Source organism: Homo sapiens, chromosome 20, assembly GCF_000001405.40.
Source record: "Homo sapiens chromosome 20, GRCh38.p14 Primary Assembly".
In the NCBI taxonomy this organism is placed as follows: Eukaryota; Metazoa; Chordata; class Mammalia; order Primates; family Hominidae; genus Homo; species Homo sapiens.
In genome coordinates this window covers 31717463-31729939 of record NC_000020.11, presented here as the reverse complement: position 1 = coordinate 31729939, position 12477 = coordinate 31717463, and the positions used below count along the sequence as shown (strand labels likewise).

The following is a 12477-nucleotide window of genomic DNA, read 5'->3' as shown; positions in this document are numbered from 1 at the left end:
AATCTTGGCTCACTGCAACCTCTGCCTCCCAGGTTCAAGTGATTCTCCTGCCTCAGCCTCCTGAGTAGCTGTGATTACAAGCGCCCGCTAGCACACCCAGCTAATTTTTTGTATTTTTAGTAAAGACAGGGTTTCACCATATTGGCCAGGCTGGTTTTGAACCCCTGACCTCAAGTGATCTGCCCACCTCGACCTTCCAAAGTGCTAGGATTACAGGCATGAGCCACCATGCCAGGCCAAAAGTAATGCTTTCTTATTTTAATATTTGGAAAATACACGGAAGGTAAGGGATTAAAAATCACCTATTGATTACAGTGTACACTCTTTATGTGATGGGCACATTAAAAGTCCAGACTTCACCAACTATATAATTCATCTACTATGTAACCCAAAACCACTTGTACCCCTAAAGCTATATGTTATATATATGAAAAAATACTGAAAATAATAAAGAATAAAGAAAAATAACTATAACGTAGCCTTTAGTGGCACTATCTCTACTATTAGCATTTTAGTATATTTCCTCTTGTCTTTTAAACATTGATTTTATTAACAGAGTAGATACAAATACATATATGCAATGTATGAAAGGTATAAAGAATAATGAGGCAAAAAAAGTCTCTGTACATATGTACAATTCAACAAGAAAACCATTTTCATTGTCTTTTCTTTCTACTTTGTTTCTTTTTTTTTTGAGACGGAGTCTTGCACTGTCGCTCAGGCTGGAGTGCAATGGCGCGATCTTGGCTCACTGCAACCTCCACCTCCCAGGTTCAAGCGACTCTCCTGCCTCAGCTTCCGGAGTAGCTGAGATTACAGGCACCCGCCACCATGCCCAGCTAATTTTTTGTATTTTTAATAGAGACGGGGGTTTCACTATGTTGGCCAGGCTGGTCTCGAACTCCTGACTTTATGATCAATCTGCCTTGGCCTCCCAAAGTGCTGGGATTACAGGTGTAAGCCACCACACCCGGCCTTGTTCCTTTTTATTTAAATTGTTTACTACTATTCTGTTTCAGACAGAGATCATTATTTTTGAAGCTTCCAATTTCATCTTGTTCCCTAGGTTAATCCAATACCCTCTCGTGTTAATGTCCAATAGCTATCATGACTTTTTTTTTTTTTTTTGAAAGAGAGTCCCTCTCTGTTGCCCAAGCTGGAGGGCAGTGGCAGGATCTCAGCTCCCTGCAACCTCTGCCTCCTGGATGCAAGCAATTCTCACGCTTCAGCCTCCAGAGTATCTGGGACTACATGTGCACACCACCACACCCAGCAAATTTTTAGTAGAAATGGCGTTTTGCCATGTTGGCCAGAGTGGTCTCAAACTCCTGGCCTCAAGTGATCTGCCCGCCTTGGCCTCCAGAAGTGCTGGGATTACAGGCATGAGCCACTGCACCCAGCCTATCATGACTTTTGTGTTTGTTATTCTCTTACCACGTAGGTATATAAGGTATATATATATATATGTTATCTACTATTGGAGAGCAAATTACCCCCAAACTTAGCAGCTTAAAATCACAATAATGTATTATTTCATACAATTTCTGAGCATCAGGAATCCAGCTTAATGGAGTGGTTCTGGTTCAGGGTCTCTAATAAGGTTGTCATCACCTGAAGGCTTGACTGGGGCAGGAGGACCCTCACATGACTGTCGGCCTCTCCATAGGGCTGCTCCCAACATGGCAGCTGGCTTCCCCCAGAGTGAGAGAGAGACCACAAACACAAAGACGGAAGCCACAATCTTTTGGGGGTTTTTGTTTTGTTTTTTGTTTTTTTTTGAGATGGAGTCTCCCTCTGTCACCCAGGCTGGAGTGCAGTGGTGGGATCTCGGCCTACTGCAAGCTCCACCTCCCGAGTTCATGCCATTCTCCTGCCTCAGCCTCCTGAGTAGCTGGGACTACAGGCGCCCACCACCACGCCCAGCTAATTTTGTTTTTTTTATTTTTAGTAGAGATGGGGTTATACCATGTTAGCCAGGATGGTCTCAATCTCCTGACCTCATGATCCACCCGCCTCGGCCTCCCAAAGTGCTGAGATTACAGGTATGAGCCACCGCGCCCAGCTGAAGCCACAATCTTTCGTAACAAAGTCTTGAAAGTGACATAACCCCAGCTTGGGCAATATGGCGAAACACCGTCTCTACAAAAAAATACAAAAATTAGCTGGGTGTGGTGGCACATGCCTGTGGTCCCAGCTACTAGGGAGACTGAGGTGGGAGGATTGCTTGGGCCTGGGAGGTCAAGGCTGCAGTGAGCCGTGATTGTGTCACTGCACTACAGCCTGGGCAACAGCGAGACCCTGTCAAGAAAAGAAAGAAAGAAAGAGAGAGAGAGAGAGAAGAAGGGAGGGAAAGAAACATTCCATCGCTGTAATTTGTCATTAGTCACACAGAACAACTGTGGTTCAGTGTGGGAGGGAAACACACAAAGGCATGAATACGAAGAGGCAGGGATATTTAGGTGCCATCTTGGAGGAAGCTAGATGCTACAAACTCTAAATTGTATATTGCCTATTTCTAAACTGTATATAAGTAGAATCTTCCTACATTATTCTTTTGCCATTTTTTCCATTCAATATGTTTCTGAGATTCCCTTTTTTTTTTTTTTTGAGAGGGTGTCTTACTCTGTCACCCAGGCTGGAGTACAGTGGTATGATCACAGCTCACTGTAGCCTTGACCTCCCAGGCTTAAGCGATTCTTTTGCCTCAATCTACTCAGTTGCTAGGGACAACAGGTGTATGCCACCAGGCCTGGCTAATTGTTCTTTTTCTGTTTTTGTTTTTGTTTTATTTTGTAGAGAGGGGGTCTCACTATATTGCCTAGGCTGGTATTGAACTCCTGGGCTCAAGCATCTTTCCGCCTTGGACTCCCAAAGTGGTGGGATTACAGGTGTGAGCCACCATGGCTGGTCTGTTTCTGGGATTCTTCTTTTTTTTTTGAGGCAGAGTCTCACTCTGTTGCCCAGGCTGGAGTGTGGTGGCATGCTCTCAGCTCATTGCAAACTCTGTCTCCTGGGTTCAAGTGATTCTCCTGCCTCAGCCTCCTGAGTAGCTGGGATTACAGGCACCTGCCACCATGCCTAGCTAATTTTTGTATTTGTAGTAGAGACGGACTTTCACCATGTTGGCCAGGCTGGTCTTGAACCCCTGACCTCGTGATCCACCCGCCTTGGCCTCCCAAAGTGTTGGTACTACAGACGTGAGCCACTGTGCCCGGCCAAAGTTAGCATGTTTTTAGATAGTGTTATATAATTAAAAATAATAGCTGGACGCAATGGCTCACGCCTGTAATCCCAGCACTTTGAGAGGCCGAGGCCGGCGGATCACAAAGTCAGGAGTTCGAGACCAGCCTGACCAACATGGTGAGACAGGAGAATCACTTGAAGCCGGGAGGCACAGGTTGCAGTAAGCCGAGGTTGTGCCACTGCACTCCGGCCTTGGCGATAGAACAAGACTCTGTATCAAAAAAAAAAAAAAAAAAAAGAGGGAGGCTGAGGCCAGAGAATCGCTTGAACCCAGGAGGCAGAGGTTGCAGTGAGCCAAGATCATGCCACTGCACTCCAGCCTGGGCAACAGAGCAAGACTCCATCTCAAAAAAAAAAAAAAAAGAAAAAGAAAAAAGAAAAAAAATACAAAGTTATGTGTAGACAACATAGAGAAGTATAAAAAAGAAAACTTATTTTCTTTAGATTTAAATGTAACTTATTTTCTTTAAATTAGATTCCAGTCAAAGATCATTTGAGAGCCATTTTCAAGACTTGCAAAATTCTTTTTCCAAAATATGTATCCATCTTTCCAAAATATAAATTTCTTCATGTTCTTTCTGGTTTAAAAAAATCTTTGCTGGCTCCTCTGGTGCTATTTGATGTGCTGCTCGCATGGATACACATTTATATTCCATCCCCTCTCCACCACTCCCCTCAGCCATCCCAATTTATTTCCAGGACACCATGGGCTCTCACGCTGGGCTGCCAGGCCTTCGCTCAAGCAATATCTTCTGCTTAAAATGCTCCTACATCCTTTCTCACCCAAGCAAAATTCTATTCTTTTGAGGGCCAGTTCAGTAAAGCCCCTATCTGTGGACAGAGTTTATCTGCCCTCTGCTGGGCTCCCAAAGCACACTGAGGCTTCCATAATGATAGTTTTCACATTGAGATAATTGTGGCACCATAGGTTCAAAAATGTAAATCAGACCGGGCGCGCTGGCTCACACCTGTAATCCCAGCACTTTGGGAGGCCAAGGTGGGCGGATCACGAGGTCAGGAGTTCGAGACTAGCCTGACCAACTGGTGAAACCCCGTCTCTACTAAAAATACAAAAATTAGCCGGGCGTGGTGGCAGGTGCCTGTAATCCCAGCTACTCAGGAGGCTGAGGCAGGAGAATCACTTGAACCCAGGAGGCGAAGGCTGCAGTGAGCCGAGATCGCACCACCGCACTCCAGCTTGGGTGACAGAGCAAGACTCCATCTCGAAAAACAGCAAAAAAAATGTAAATCAGAGCCAGGTGTGGTGGCTAATGCCTGTAATTCCAGGACTTTGGGAGGCCGACATAGACAGATCACTTGAGCCCAGGAGTTTGAGACCAGCCTGGGCAACATGGGGAAACTCCATTCTCTACAAAAAATACAAAAATTAGCTGGGTGTGGAGGTGCGAGCCTGTATTCACAACTACTGGGGAGGCTGAGGTGGGAGGATCACCTGGGATGGGGAGGTCGAGGCTGCTGTGAGCTGAGATCACACCATTGCACTGCAGGCTGGGTGACATACCCTGTCTCAAAAAAAAAAAAAAAAAAAAGGCCGGGCACGGTGGCTCATGTCTGTAATCCCAGCACTTTGGGAGGCTGAGGCAGTCGGATCACCTGAGGTCAGCAGTTTGAGACCAGCCTGGCCAAAATGGTGAAACCCTGTCTCTACTAAAAATACAAAAATTAGCCGGGCGTGGTGGTGTGTACCTGTAGTCCCAGATACTAGGGAGGCTGAGGCAGGACAATCACTTGAACCTGGCGGGCAGAGTTTACAGTGAGCCAAGATAGCACCACTGCACTCCAGCCTGTGCAACAGAGCAAGACTCCATCTCGAACAAACAACAATAACAAAAAAAAAAAAAAAAATGAGGAAAGAGTTCAACAGAAAGACCACCTGAAAAAGGGGTAAACAATATGAAGAAAATTCACCAATACAAGATCCACCACCCTCCAAAGAAAGACTAAAAAATATGACAAATTGCTCAACTTCATTCATAATAAAAAAAGAAATATGAAAGTGCCTTCGGTTTTTACCCATCTAATTGGCAAGGATAAAACATTTGATAACACACTGTGTGGTTCAGGGTGTAAGGAAATTGGCGGGGCGCGGTGGCTCACGCCTGTAAACGATTCTCCTGTAAGCGAGTCTGCTGCCTCAGCCTCCCGAGTAGCTGGGATTACAGGCATGCGCCACCACGCCCAGCTAATTTTTTGTATTTTTAGTAGAGACGGGGTTTCACCACATTGGCCACGCTGGTCTTGAACTCCTAACCTCAGGTGATCCGCCCGCCTCGGCCTCCCAAAGTGCTGGGATTACGGGCGTGAGCCACCGCGCCCGGCCTGTCCTATGGAGTTTACAATTAATAACTCTCTTAATCATCACAATAGCTCAACGAGAGAGGTTGGTACTATTACCCATTTTACAATTGAGGACATTGAAGCACAGAGCAGTTGAGAAACTTGCCTAACTAGCAGAGTTAGAATCCAGACAAAGTGCTTAACCACAAGGCGATGCTTCTTCTATATATAAACTGACGGACGGATGAAATAGGCTGATTGACTGATGAGTGACTGACTGACTGACTGAATGAATAAATGGAAATGTGATTATAAATGTTGATTTTTTGCGCCTCCCGATTCCCCAGATCTACCGCGAGGGGGCGATCTCTCCCCGGTCCTGATGCCAGTCACTCAAGGCGCGCACTCCCTTTGCGTCTCGGGCTCGCGCGCGTTGCCGCGGCACCGGAAGTGACTGAGCTTGCAAGTTCCCCTGTCTCTTCAGGGGAAACTGAGGCCGGCTTGTTCGGGAGAGACGGCGCGAGCAGTCAGCCAGGTAGGCCGGCAGCCAGGTAGGCCGGCCCGGGTCCGCGGCGCGGAACTCGGCCGCGAAGAGCTCTTGCGTCTGGAAGCTACCGGGCCGATGAAGGGGGATGTGGCCCCCCACGGCTCGCGGGGCTCGCAGGTGAGAGCGCCGCCTCCCCTGTGCGTGACAGCCGTTGCGCCCAATAGGAGCCTTCGCCGTCCCGCTTCCGTGCCGGCTGGGCTCGCTGATTGGCTGCGCTGGGGCGGACCGCCGGGGGCGAGGCCCCTCCTCTCAGGAAGGTCTAGGGGGCGCCCCCGGGGGAGGGCGGTTGCCTAGCAACGGGGCGGTGGCTCGGCGGGTACCCGGCCTAGTGAGCTCGAGAAGCCGCTAGGCCGCAGCCGGCCCACCCTGGGCTCCGGAGAGGTGCAGCCCCCGGCCCCGGAGCCCTCCCGGGGGCGCCAGAAAGCCACTTTGGGCCTGTCCCCAGGAAAACGTGGTCTCAGCTGTGGGGCCGTCGAGCAGGCCTCGACCCCTCTTCCTGACCTGAGGAGAGGCCCAGCGCCTCACCCTCACCCAGTCTTTGTGCAGGGCGCCGGCGGCCATTGTGTCCGGGCGGGGAATGGAGGACCCGGCAATCCCCAACTGCCACGTTCTGGGCCTTTGGGGAATTCAGAGCAAACCAGCGGCATTTGTTGGGGGTCTCCGGCCTTCAACATCACAGACAGGCCTGGGGGTGGCCTTCCCAAAGTCAGATTGCAGATCTGAGGCAGTTTCCCCCTCCCTGCGTCCCTCACTGAAACCTTGAACCCCATTGAGAAGTCCCTTTAGGGTTTCGGACGCCTCCACCTCACCCTGGGCTGGTGCTTAAATAGAAAAAAGAAAAACAAAAACCAACTAAATCCATACCAGCCACCTCCGGGAGAGTACTCCTGGCTCCCAGTAGGAGGCGGAGAGCCAAGGGGCGTGCAAGAGAGAGGGGGCTGGGCTCCCGGGTGGCAGGAGGCCGCGGCTGCGGAGCGGCCGCCCTCGATCCGGGCGATGGAGGAGGAAGCAAGCGAGGGGGCTGGTTCCTGAGCTTCGCAATTCCTGTGTCGCCTTCTGGGCTCCCAGCCTGCCGGGTCGCATGATCCCTCCGGCCGGAGCTGGTTTTTTTGCCAGCCACCGCGAGGCCGGCTGAGTTACCGGCATCCCCGCAGCCACCTCCTCTCCCGACCTGTGATACAAAAGATCTTCCGGGGGCTGCACCTGCCTGCCTTTGCCTAAGGCGGATTTGAATGTAGGTGGTGCGGGGGAGCGGGAGTGGGGCGGGGGGGACTGCCCAGGGAGTGACTTTCCGAGGAAGGCATTTCGGAGAAGACGGGGGTAGAAAAGGCTGGTGGGAGATTCAGAGTCCACTGGTGCTTTCGATTTGACTTAAGTGAAGTATCTTGGAACCTAGACCCAGACCTTCGTAAGACCCACAAAGAAACCAGTTCTGGTACCTGGAGGGGGAATGGAATTTTTAGGGTAAATGGCATGCATATTAATTATTTTTTTTTCCTGAAGCTCTTTCTCTCCCTTCAGAATCTTATCTTGGCTTTGGATCTTAGAAGAGAATCACTAACCAGAGACGAGACTCAGTGAGTGAGCAGGTGTTTTGGACAATGGACTGGTTGAGCCCATCCCTATTATAAAAATGTCTCAGAGCAACCGGGAGCTGGTGGTTGACTTTCTCTCCTACAAGCTTTCCCAGAAAGGATACAGCTGGAGTCAGTTTAGTGATGTGGAAGAGAACAGGACTGAGGCCCCAGAAGGGACTGAATCGGAGATGGAGACCCCCAGTGCCATCAATGGCAACCCATCCTGGCACCTGGCAGACAGCCCCGCGGTGAATGGAGCCACTGGCCACAGCAGCAGTTTGGATGCCCGGGAGGTGATCCCCATGGCAGCAGTAAAGCAAGCGCTGAGGGAGGCAGGCGACGAGTTTGAACTGCGGTACCGGCGGGCATTCAGTGACCTGACATCCCAGCTCCACATCACCCCAGGGACAGCATATCAGAGCTTTGAACAGGTAGTGAATGAACTCTTCCGGGATGGGGTAAACTGGGGTCGCATTGTGGCCTTTTTCTCCTTCGGCGGGGCACTGTGCGTGGAAAGCGTAGACAAGGAGATGCAGGTATTGGTGAGTCGGATCGCAGCTTGGATGGCCACTTACCTGAATGACCACCTAGAGCCTTGGATCCAGGAGAACGGCGGCTGGGTAAGAACCAAGCCCCTTGTGTGTCCCTTTTCTTTGGCCTCTGGTCAGAGATCCCCAACAGCCCTTCTTCTGTATCTCTTTCTGTTGTGTTGGGTGATTGTTGGAGACGTTGATAGTTGAGGAAACCTGACTGGCCTCATTTCACCACAAGAGGTTAACTCCTTGGAAATACAAATGACCCTGTGCTTCAGAGATCAGGCATCTTTCACCCTGGTCACCCCCATGACTCCACTATTCCATACTTGTGTTCCAGTTTCTCAGCAAAGAAAACTGTAGCCTATGTGTTCATTAAGTCCCAAACCTGTGAGGGTAGGAAGTTAGTTCGGTGTTTCCCTTACCTTATACAATGGTTCACACACAAAGGGGTGATGAGTATAATGCCTGGAGAAGATGATGAGCATCAATGACCCACAGACCTCTCCATCTGTTCCCCCCAAGGGGTCTCAGTCCTATCCTGGGCTTCTCTCCCCCAAATCAAGTTCCCTTTATTTCAAAGTTTGCGTGTATGGCACTCTCCTCTCAGACTAGGGCATGGCCATAGGCAGGAGTTCCCACTGGGTTGAATGGCTGAGAATTGTCAGATTTTGGGGCAGTGTAGGCTGTGCAGATTGTGTTTGCACTGCGCCCCCTAAGTTCATTTCCCCCAAAGTGTGCGACTTTCTGCATGGTTGCCTTGTTTGTGGAGCACTTGCTGTGTCACACATTAAGCCAGGGGACTTTGCACCTCATTGCCTGGGGTCGGTTGGGGAGCTCCAGCTGCTCTGCCTGTTACTTTCCGGCCAGAGCCCAGGGGCCTCTTCAAGCACTGTTTGCTGGCAAAGCAAGAACCTAGTCTTTGGGGCTCTGTGGGACATTGAGATTTAGTAACAGACTTCACATGCAGGTATAAGTTCCAGTTCTGTCATGTAACTAGCTGTGTGACCTTGGACAGGCTGGGTTACTTTCTTGAGGCTTAGTTTCTTTCACTAAAAAATGTGGCAAGCTCTCCTTGCCTTACAGTGTATTGTAAATCTTGGCGATAATGTGAGCACAGTGACTGACACCAGCAAATTCCCTTTCCAGGGAGGGAGAGTTCTCCTGCCCATCACTGAGCCAGGATGAGATGGTGGTGAAAGCTTCTTTACCAGTGGTCACTGTAGGCAAGTTTTGCTCTTCAGTGAATTCAGTCCTGTTTTCTTGCTTATCTCCCTACCTAGCGGAGGTGCAGGTTTTATGAGAGATGTTCTATCCCCTCAGAGTATGCAGAAAAGCATCAAGCTGTGGAAAATAAGTCATCCATTGAAGGAGCTGAGGTGGAAGGGGACATGCACCATGGACTCAGGAATGTCAAGAATGCAACTGTCTATAGGCTGGGCCTAGGGTGTGGCAGGCACTTCACTTTACCACTGAGCAAGAGACCTCCTGAGTTTGCCCTGGAACCCCACCCCCTCTCTCATTTTGCATTTCTTTGCAATTTCAACTCGTCTGTGCCAGCTCTTGTAAAAGGCAAGGGGGTCAAGTCAATAGAGGTCAGATAACTGGGGTGGGGTCAGGGGAGGTAAAGGTGGTGGGTTCTCTTGAGCTAGCTGACTAGACTTGAAAGCCATTCTGTAAATGAACTCTCTAGGGGGATAAATGATTAAATAGTTCCTGTTGGTTTGTGCAGTGACCTCTCCTGTTCCCTCCTGCTTTGATTCTCTTTTGGGGCAAATATTTGTTCAGCTGATTACAGGAGGGACAGGATTCCAGTACTGCAGACACACCCTCTGAGGCATCTCCAAGTAGGGATTGAGGCTGCTTGCCCACTTTGCCTGACTATTGTCTTTGGCCAGTGGTCCTAATACCAGGTGGGTTGTTGCCAGCTATAAACAAAAGGCAGTCTGGGAGAGGTGCCTGGTCTGCTAGCCAGCCTCTGCAGAAGGCTACCCCTACCAGAGAATTGCCAGCTGCCCAGTGGTGCATATGAAAGAGGTCTTAGACACAGCAACTCTGGGTAAGTTTATTAGATCTCCATGGGGTTGAAATTCCATCTTCCATCTCTTTGCTTAAGAATCATCAGAGCCTGTTGGACAACATACCACATGTCACTTCCTCTTGGTGAACAGAGGGGATGTGTGTGGAAGAGCCAGTTATATCAGAACCATTTCTGAGCACACATTCTCTCCCTAAGGCCAGGGAGTAAAGAACATTTGACTCAGGATCCTTTGAGCCTGGGTAGAAGGTACCCGCCCCCTTCCTCTCAGGTATTATCCTGTTCCAAGCTGCACCGACTGGCTACTGTGGTGGCATCGGGTAATTATCCTGGAGACTGCGGCTGGGAGATCCTTAAGGGTAGGAGTTATGGGCTATTCTACTCAGGGCTATGTTCTAAATTTAGCATCCCTACAGGAAAGGGGAAGGAAATTAGTCTTTATTGAGTACCTGTTAAGTACTAGGCACTGTGTTAGGTCCTCTACTTATGCAACCAGTGTTTCTTGAGCATCTACTGTGAAGCTAGCAGTGTACTAGGTGCTGGCCATAAGCCACGCATGGTACCTTCCTTCATGGAAACGGCATGCTGTTTCATATATTCTACAGTAACCTTCCAAGGAAGGTGAGTTTATTCCCAGTTTACACATGAAGGTCTTTGTGCCTAAGTGACTGACCCCAGGTGTCCCTCAGCCAGTTAAGTGTCTGAATGAGAATTTACACCAAGGTTGGCATAATTCTAAAGCCAACACTTTTCATCCTATCAAGTTGTCCAGGGAGTAATAAAGTGACCTAGACATGCTGGCCCAGAAAGCCAGAGATGCTGTTGGGCCAAGCAAACCATGCCTGTGAAGGTGCTCACTCTGGACTGATAACTGGCTTTGTTCAGGTAGCTATGGGAAGGATAGTTGGCAGTAGCAGGTTCCCAGAGGCGTGTTGGTAGCCTCAGATTCTGGCACTGGTAAAACTCAGACATGGCAGGTTTCAAGTGGGCATCAGGGTTTTGCCCAGAGTGAGCTGCTTATTAATTTTTTCTTTTTTTTTTTTTTTTTGAGACGGAGTCTCGCTCTTGTTGCCTAGGCTGGAGTGCAGTGGCGCGATCTCAGCTCACTGCAGCCTCTGCCTCCCGGGTTCAAGTGATTCTCCTGCCTCAGCCTCCCAAGTAGCTGGGATTACAGGCATGCGCCACCACACCTGGCTAATTTTGTATTTTTAGTAGAGATGGGGTTTCTCCATGTTGGTCAAGCTGGTTTCAAACTCCCAACCTCAGGTGATCCGCCTGCCTCAGCCTCCCAAAATGCTGGGATTACAGGCATGAACCACCGTGCCTGGCCCCGGCCAATTTTTTCATTGTTAAAACCCTCTCAGGCCCTGCCAATAGATGACAGTGGTGTGCGTGTGGGGAGAAGGTGGCCTGCCCCAGGTATCTCTACTTAGTGGTGGAGTGATGCTTCAAGGACTGAAAGTGTAGACCCTTAGCCAGATTACTGCCTGCCTGGAGTCACCTGATGAAATGCTGAACCTGTTCGGCTGTCTTGTCCATCTGTCTCTCCCGCCTGTAAAATGGAATAATGATAGCCAGCTGCCATAGCTTGACTCGAGTAAAGGATCTAGCACAAAAGCCCTTCTCCTGCCATAATTGTAGGGTGGAAACCCTTTAATGAATGGGCAGCTTCCCTCAGAGAACTGACTCTTCCCCCTAGAGTTTCTCCTTGAGAAACAAAGTCCCTGTGATACTTTCCTGGAATGTTGTATACATGACCTTCCCCGAAGGGACACAAGTGTTTCTGGTGCTTTCCAATGGGAATGTGGGAAGGGACCCAGGTGGGCCTTGCCACTTTGGGATTGCTGTCCCTGAAGAAATCCCTTAGCCTGATAGAAACGTAATTGTTGGGAGCAATGAACTGTGTTGGGGGAGAAAACATAACTTGGCCTTTCTTAAGCTGTATGGCTCAGTGGTCTGAGTTTCTGTAGATCTCTTATTGCCTAATGTGGCTTCTTCAGATGGATGTATGCTTAGTTGAAGCACCTCAGCTCCCTTTGCAGATAGTGGCAGTTCTGTGGTTTTCTTAGGGAAACCCCATTAGAAACCCCAAATGTGGAAATTTTTAGTAATCTCATTCGGGTCCCAAAATTAAGTAGAAGTGTCTCAGGGGCTCCCCCTTGAAACACCTACTTCTTCTGAGTGTACATTTGAGGTTGCTCTTAAAATTCTGTTACCATCACAGGGTTTTCCAGACTTCCT

The 12477-nt window shown here is 49.4% G+C and overlaps 1 protein-coding gene across 11 annotated transcripts in view, besides 12 other annotated features; it reads left to right on the top strand.

Moving 5' to 3' along the window:
* Window positions 1223-1399: a silencer, noted in NCBI's record as "fragment chr20:30316344-30316520 (GRCh37/hg19 assembly coordinates)". NCBI's record gives its function as "represses an EF-1alpha promoter that drives an FKBP-Casp9 reporter gene in an ReSE screen in K562 erythroleukemia cells {active_cell/tissue: K562}" and the evidence as "EXISTENCE:reporter gene assay evidence [ECO:0000049][PMID:32094911]".
* Window positions 5943-6697: an enhancer, noted in NCBI's record as "NANOG-H3K27ac-H3K4me1 hESC enhancer chr20:30311046-30311800 (GRCh37/hg19 assembly coordinates)". NCBI's record gives its function as "activates a minimal SCP1, AML or CMV promoter by ChIP-STARR-seq in primed H9 embryonic stem cells {active_cell/tissue: H9 hESC(primed)}" and the evidence as "EXISTENCE:reporter gene assay evidence [ECO:0000049][PMID:30033119]".
* Window positions 5974-6173: an enhancer, noted in NCBI's record as "active region_17697". NCBI's record gives its function as "activates an Ori minimal core promoter by ATAC-STARR-seq in GM12878 lymphoblastoid cells {active_cell/tissue: GM12878}" and the evidence as "EXISTENCE:reporter gene assay evidence [ECO:0000049][PMID:35858748]".
* The window catches only part of BCL2L1 (BCL2 like 1), a 59512-nt gene continuing 53011 nt past the window's right edge, over window positions 5977-12477 (top strand). Inside the window, exons 1-2 of one of the 11 annotated variants that reach the window (NM_001317920.2) lie at window positions 5977-6076; window positions 7610-8285. In NM_001317920.2, coding sequence (NP_001304849.1) covers window positions 7722-8285 — 564 coding nt within the window. In that variant the 5' untranslated portion in view covers window positions 5977-6076; window positions 7610-7721. Of the gene's footprint in view, window positions 6206-7071; window positions 7323-7439; window positions 7524-7591; window positions 8286-12477 lie in introns of those variants that run through there. The other 10 variants (NM_001322239.2, NM_001317921.2, NM_001322240.2 and 7 more) reach the window with 10 other exon arrangements.
* Window positions 6204-6653: a silencer, noted in NCBI's record as "silent region_12764". NCBI's record gives its function as "represses an Ori minimal core promoter by ATAC-STARR-seq in GM12878 lymphoblastoid cells {active_cell/tissue: GM12878}" and the evidence as "EXISTENCE:reporter gene assay evidence [ECO:0000049][PMID:35858748]".
* Window positions 6698-7453: an enhancer, noted in NCBI's record as "NANOG-H3K27ac-H3K4me1 hESC enhancer chr20:30310290-30311045 (GRCh37/hg19 assembly coordinates)". NCBI's record gives its function as "activates a minimal SCP1, AML or CMV promoter by ChIP-STARR-seq in naive H9 embryonic stem cells {active_cell/tissue: H9 hESC(naive)}" and the evidence as "EXISTENCE:reporter gene assay evidence [ECO:0000049][PMID:30033119]".
* Window positions 6704-6763: an enhancer, noted in NCBI's record as "active region_17696". NCBI's record gives its function as "activates an Ori minimal core promoter by ATAC-STARR-seq in GM12878 lymphoblastoid cells {active_cell/tissue: GM12878}" and the evidence as "EXISTENCE:reporter gene assay evidence [ECO:0000049][PMID:35858748]".
* Window positions 6860-7154: a silencer, noted in NCBI's record as "tiled region #1; K562 Repressive DNase unmatched - State 1:Tss". NCBI's record gives its function as "represses a minimal TATA promoter and a strong SV40 promoter by Sharpr-MPRA in K562 cells {active_cell/tissue: K562}" and the evidence as "EXISTENCE:reporter gene assay evidence [ECO:0000049][PMID:27701403]".
* Window positions 7054-7163: a silencer, noted in NCBI's record as "silent region_12763". NCBI's record gives its function as "represses an Ori minimal core promoter by ATAC-STARR-seq in GM12878 lymphoblastoid cells {active_cell/tissue: GM12878}" and the evidence as "EXISTENCE:reporter gene assay evidence [ECO:0000049][PMID:35858748]".
* Window positions 7214-7333: a silencer, noted in NCBI's record as "silent region_12762". NCBI's record gives its function as "represses an Ori minimal core promoter by ATAC-STARR-seq in GM12878 lymphoblastoid cells {active_cell/tissue: GM12878}" and the evidence as "EXISTENCE:reporter gene assay evidence [ECO:0000049][PMID:35858748]".
* Window positions 9095-9214: an enhancer, noted in NCBI's record as "active region_17695". NCBI's record gives its function as "activates an Ori minimal core promoter by ATAC-STARR-seq in GM12878 lymphoblastoid cells {active_cell/tissue: GM12878}" and the evidence as "EXISTENCE:reporter gene assay evidence [ECO:0000049][PMID:35858748]".
* Window positions 11546-11645: a silencer, noted in NCBI's record as "silent region_12761". NCBI's record gives its function as "represses an Ori minimal core promoter by ATAC-STARR-seq in GM12878 lymphoblastoid cells {active_cell/tissue: GM12878}" and the evidence as "EXISTENCE:reporter gene assay evidence [ECO:0000049][PMID:35858748]".
* Window positions 11876-11925: an enhancer, noted in NCBI's record as "active region_17694". NCBI's record gives its function as "activates an Ori minimal core promoter by ATAC-STARR-seq in GM12878 lymphoblastoid cells {active_cell/tissue: GM12878}" and the evidence as "EXISTENCE:reporter gene assay evidence [ECO:0000049][PMID:35858748]".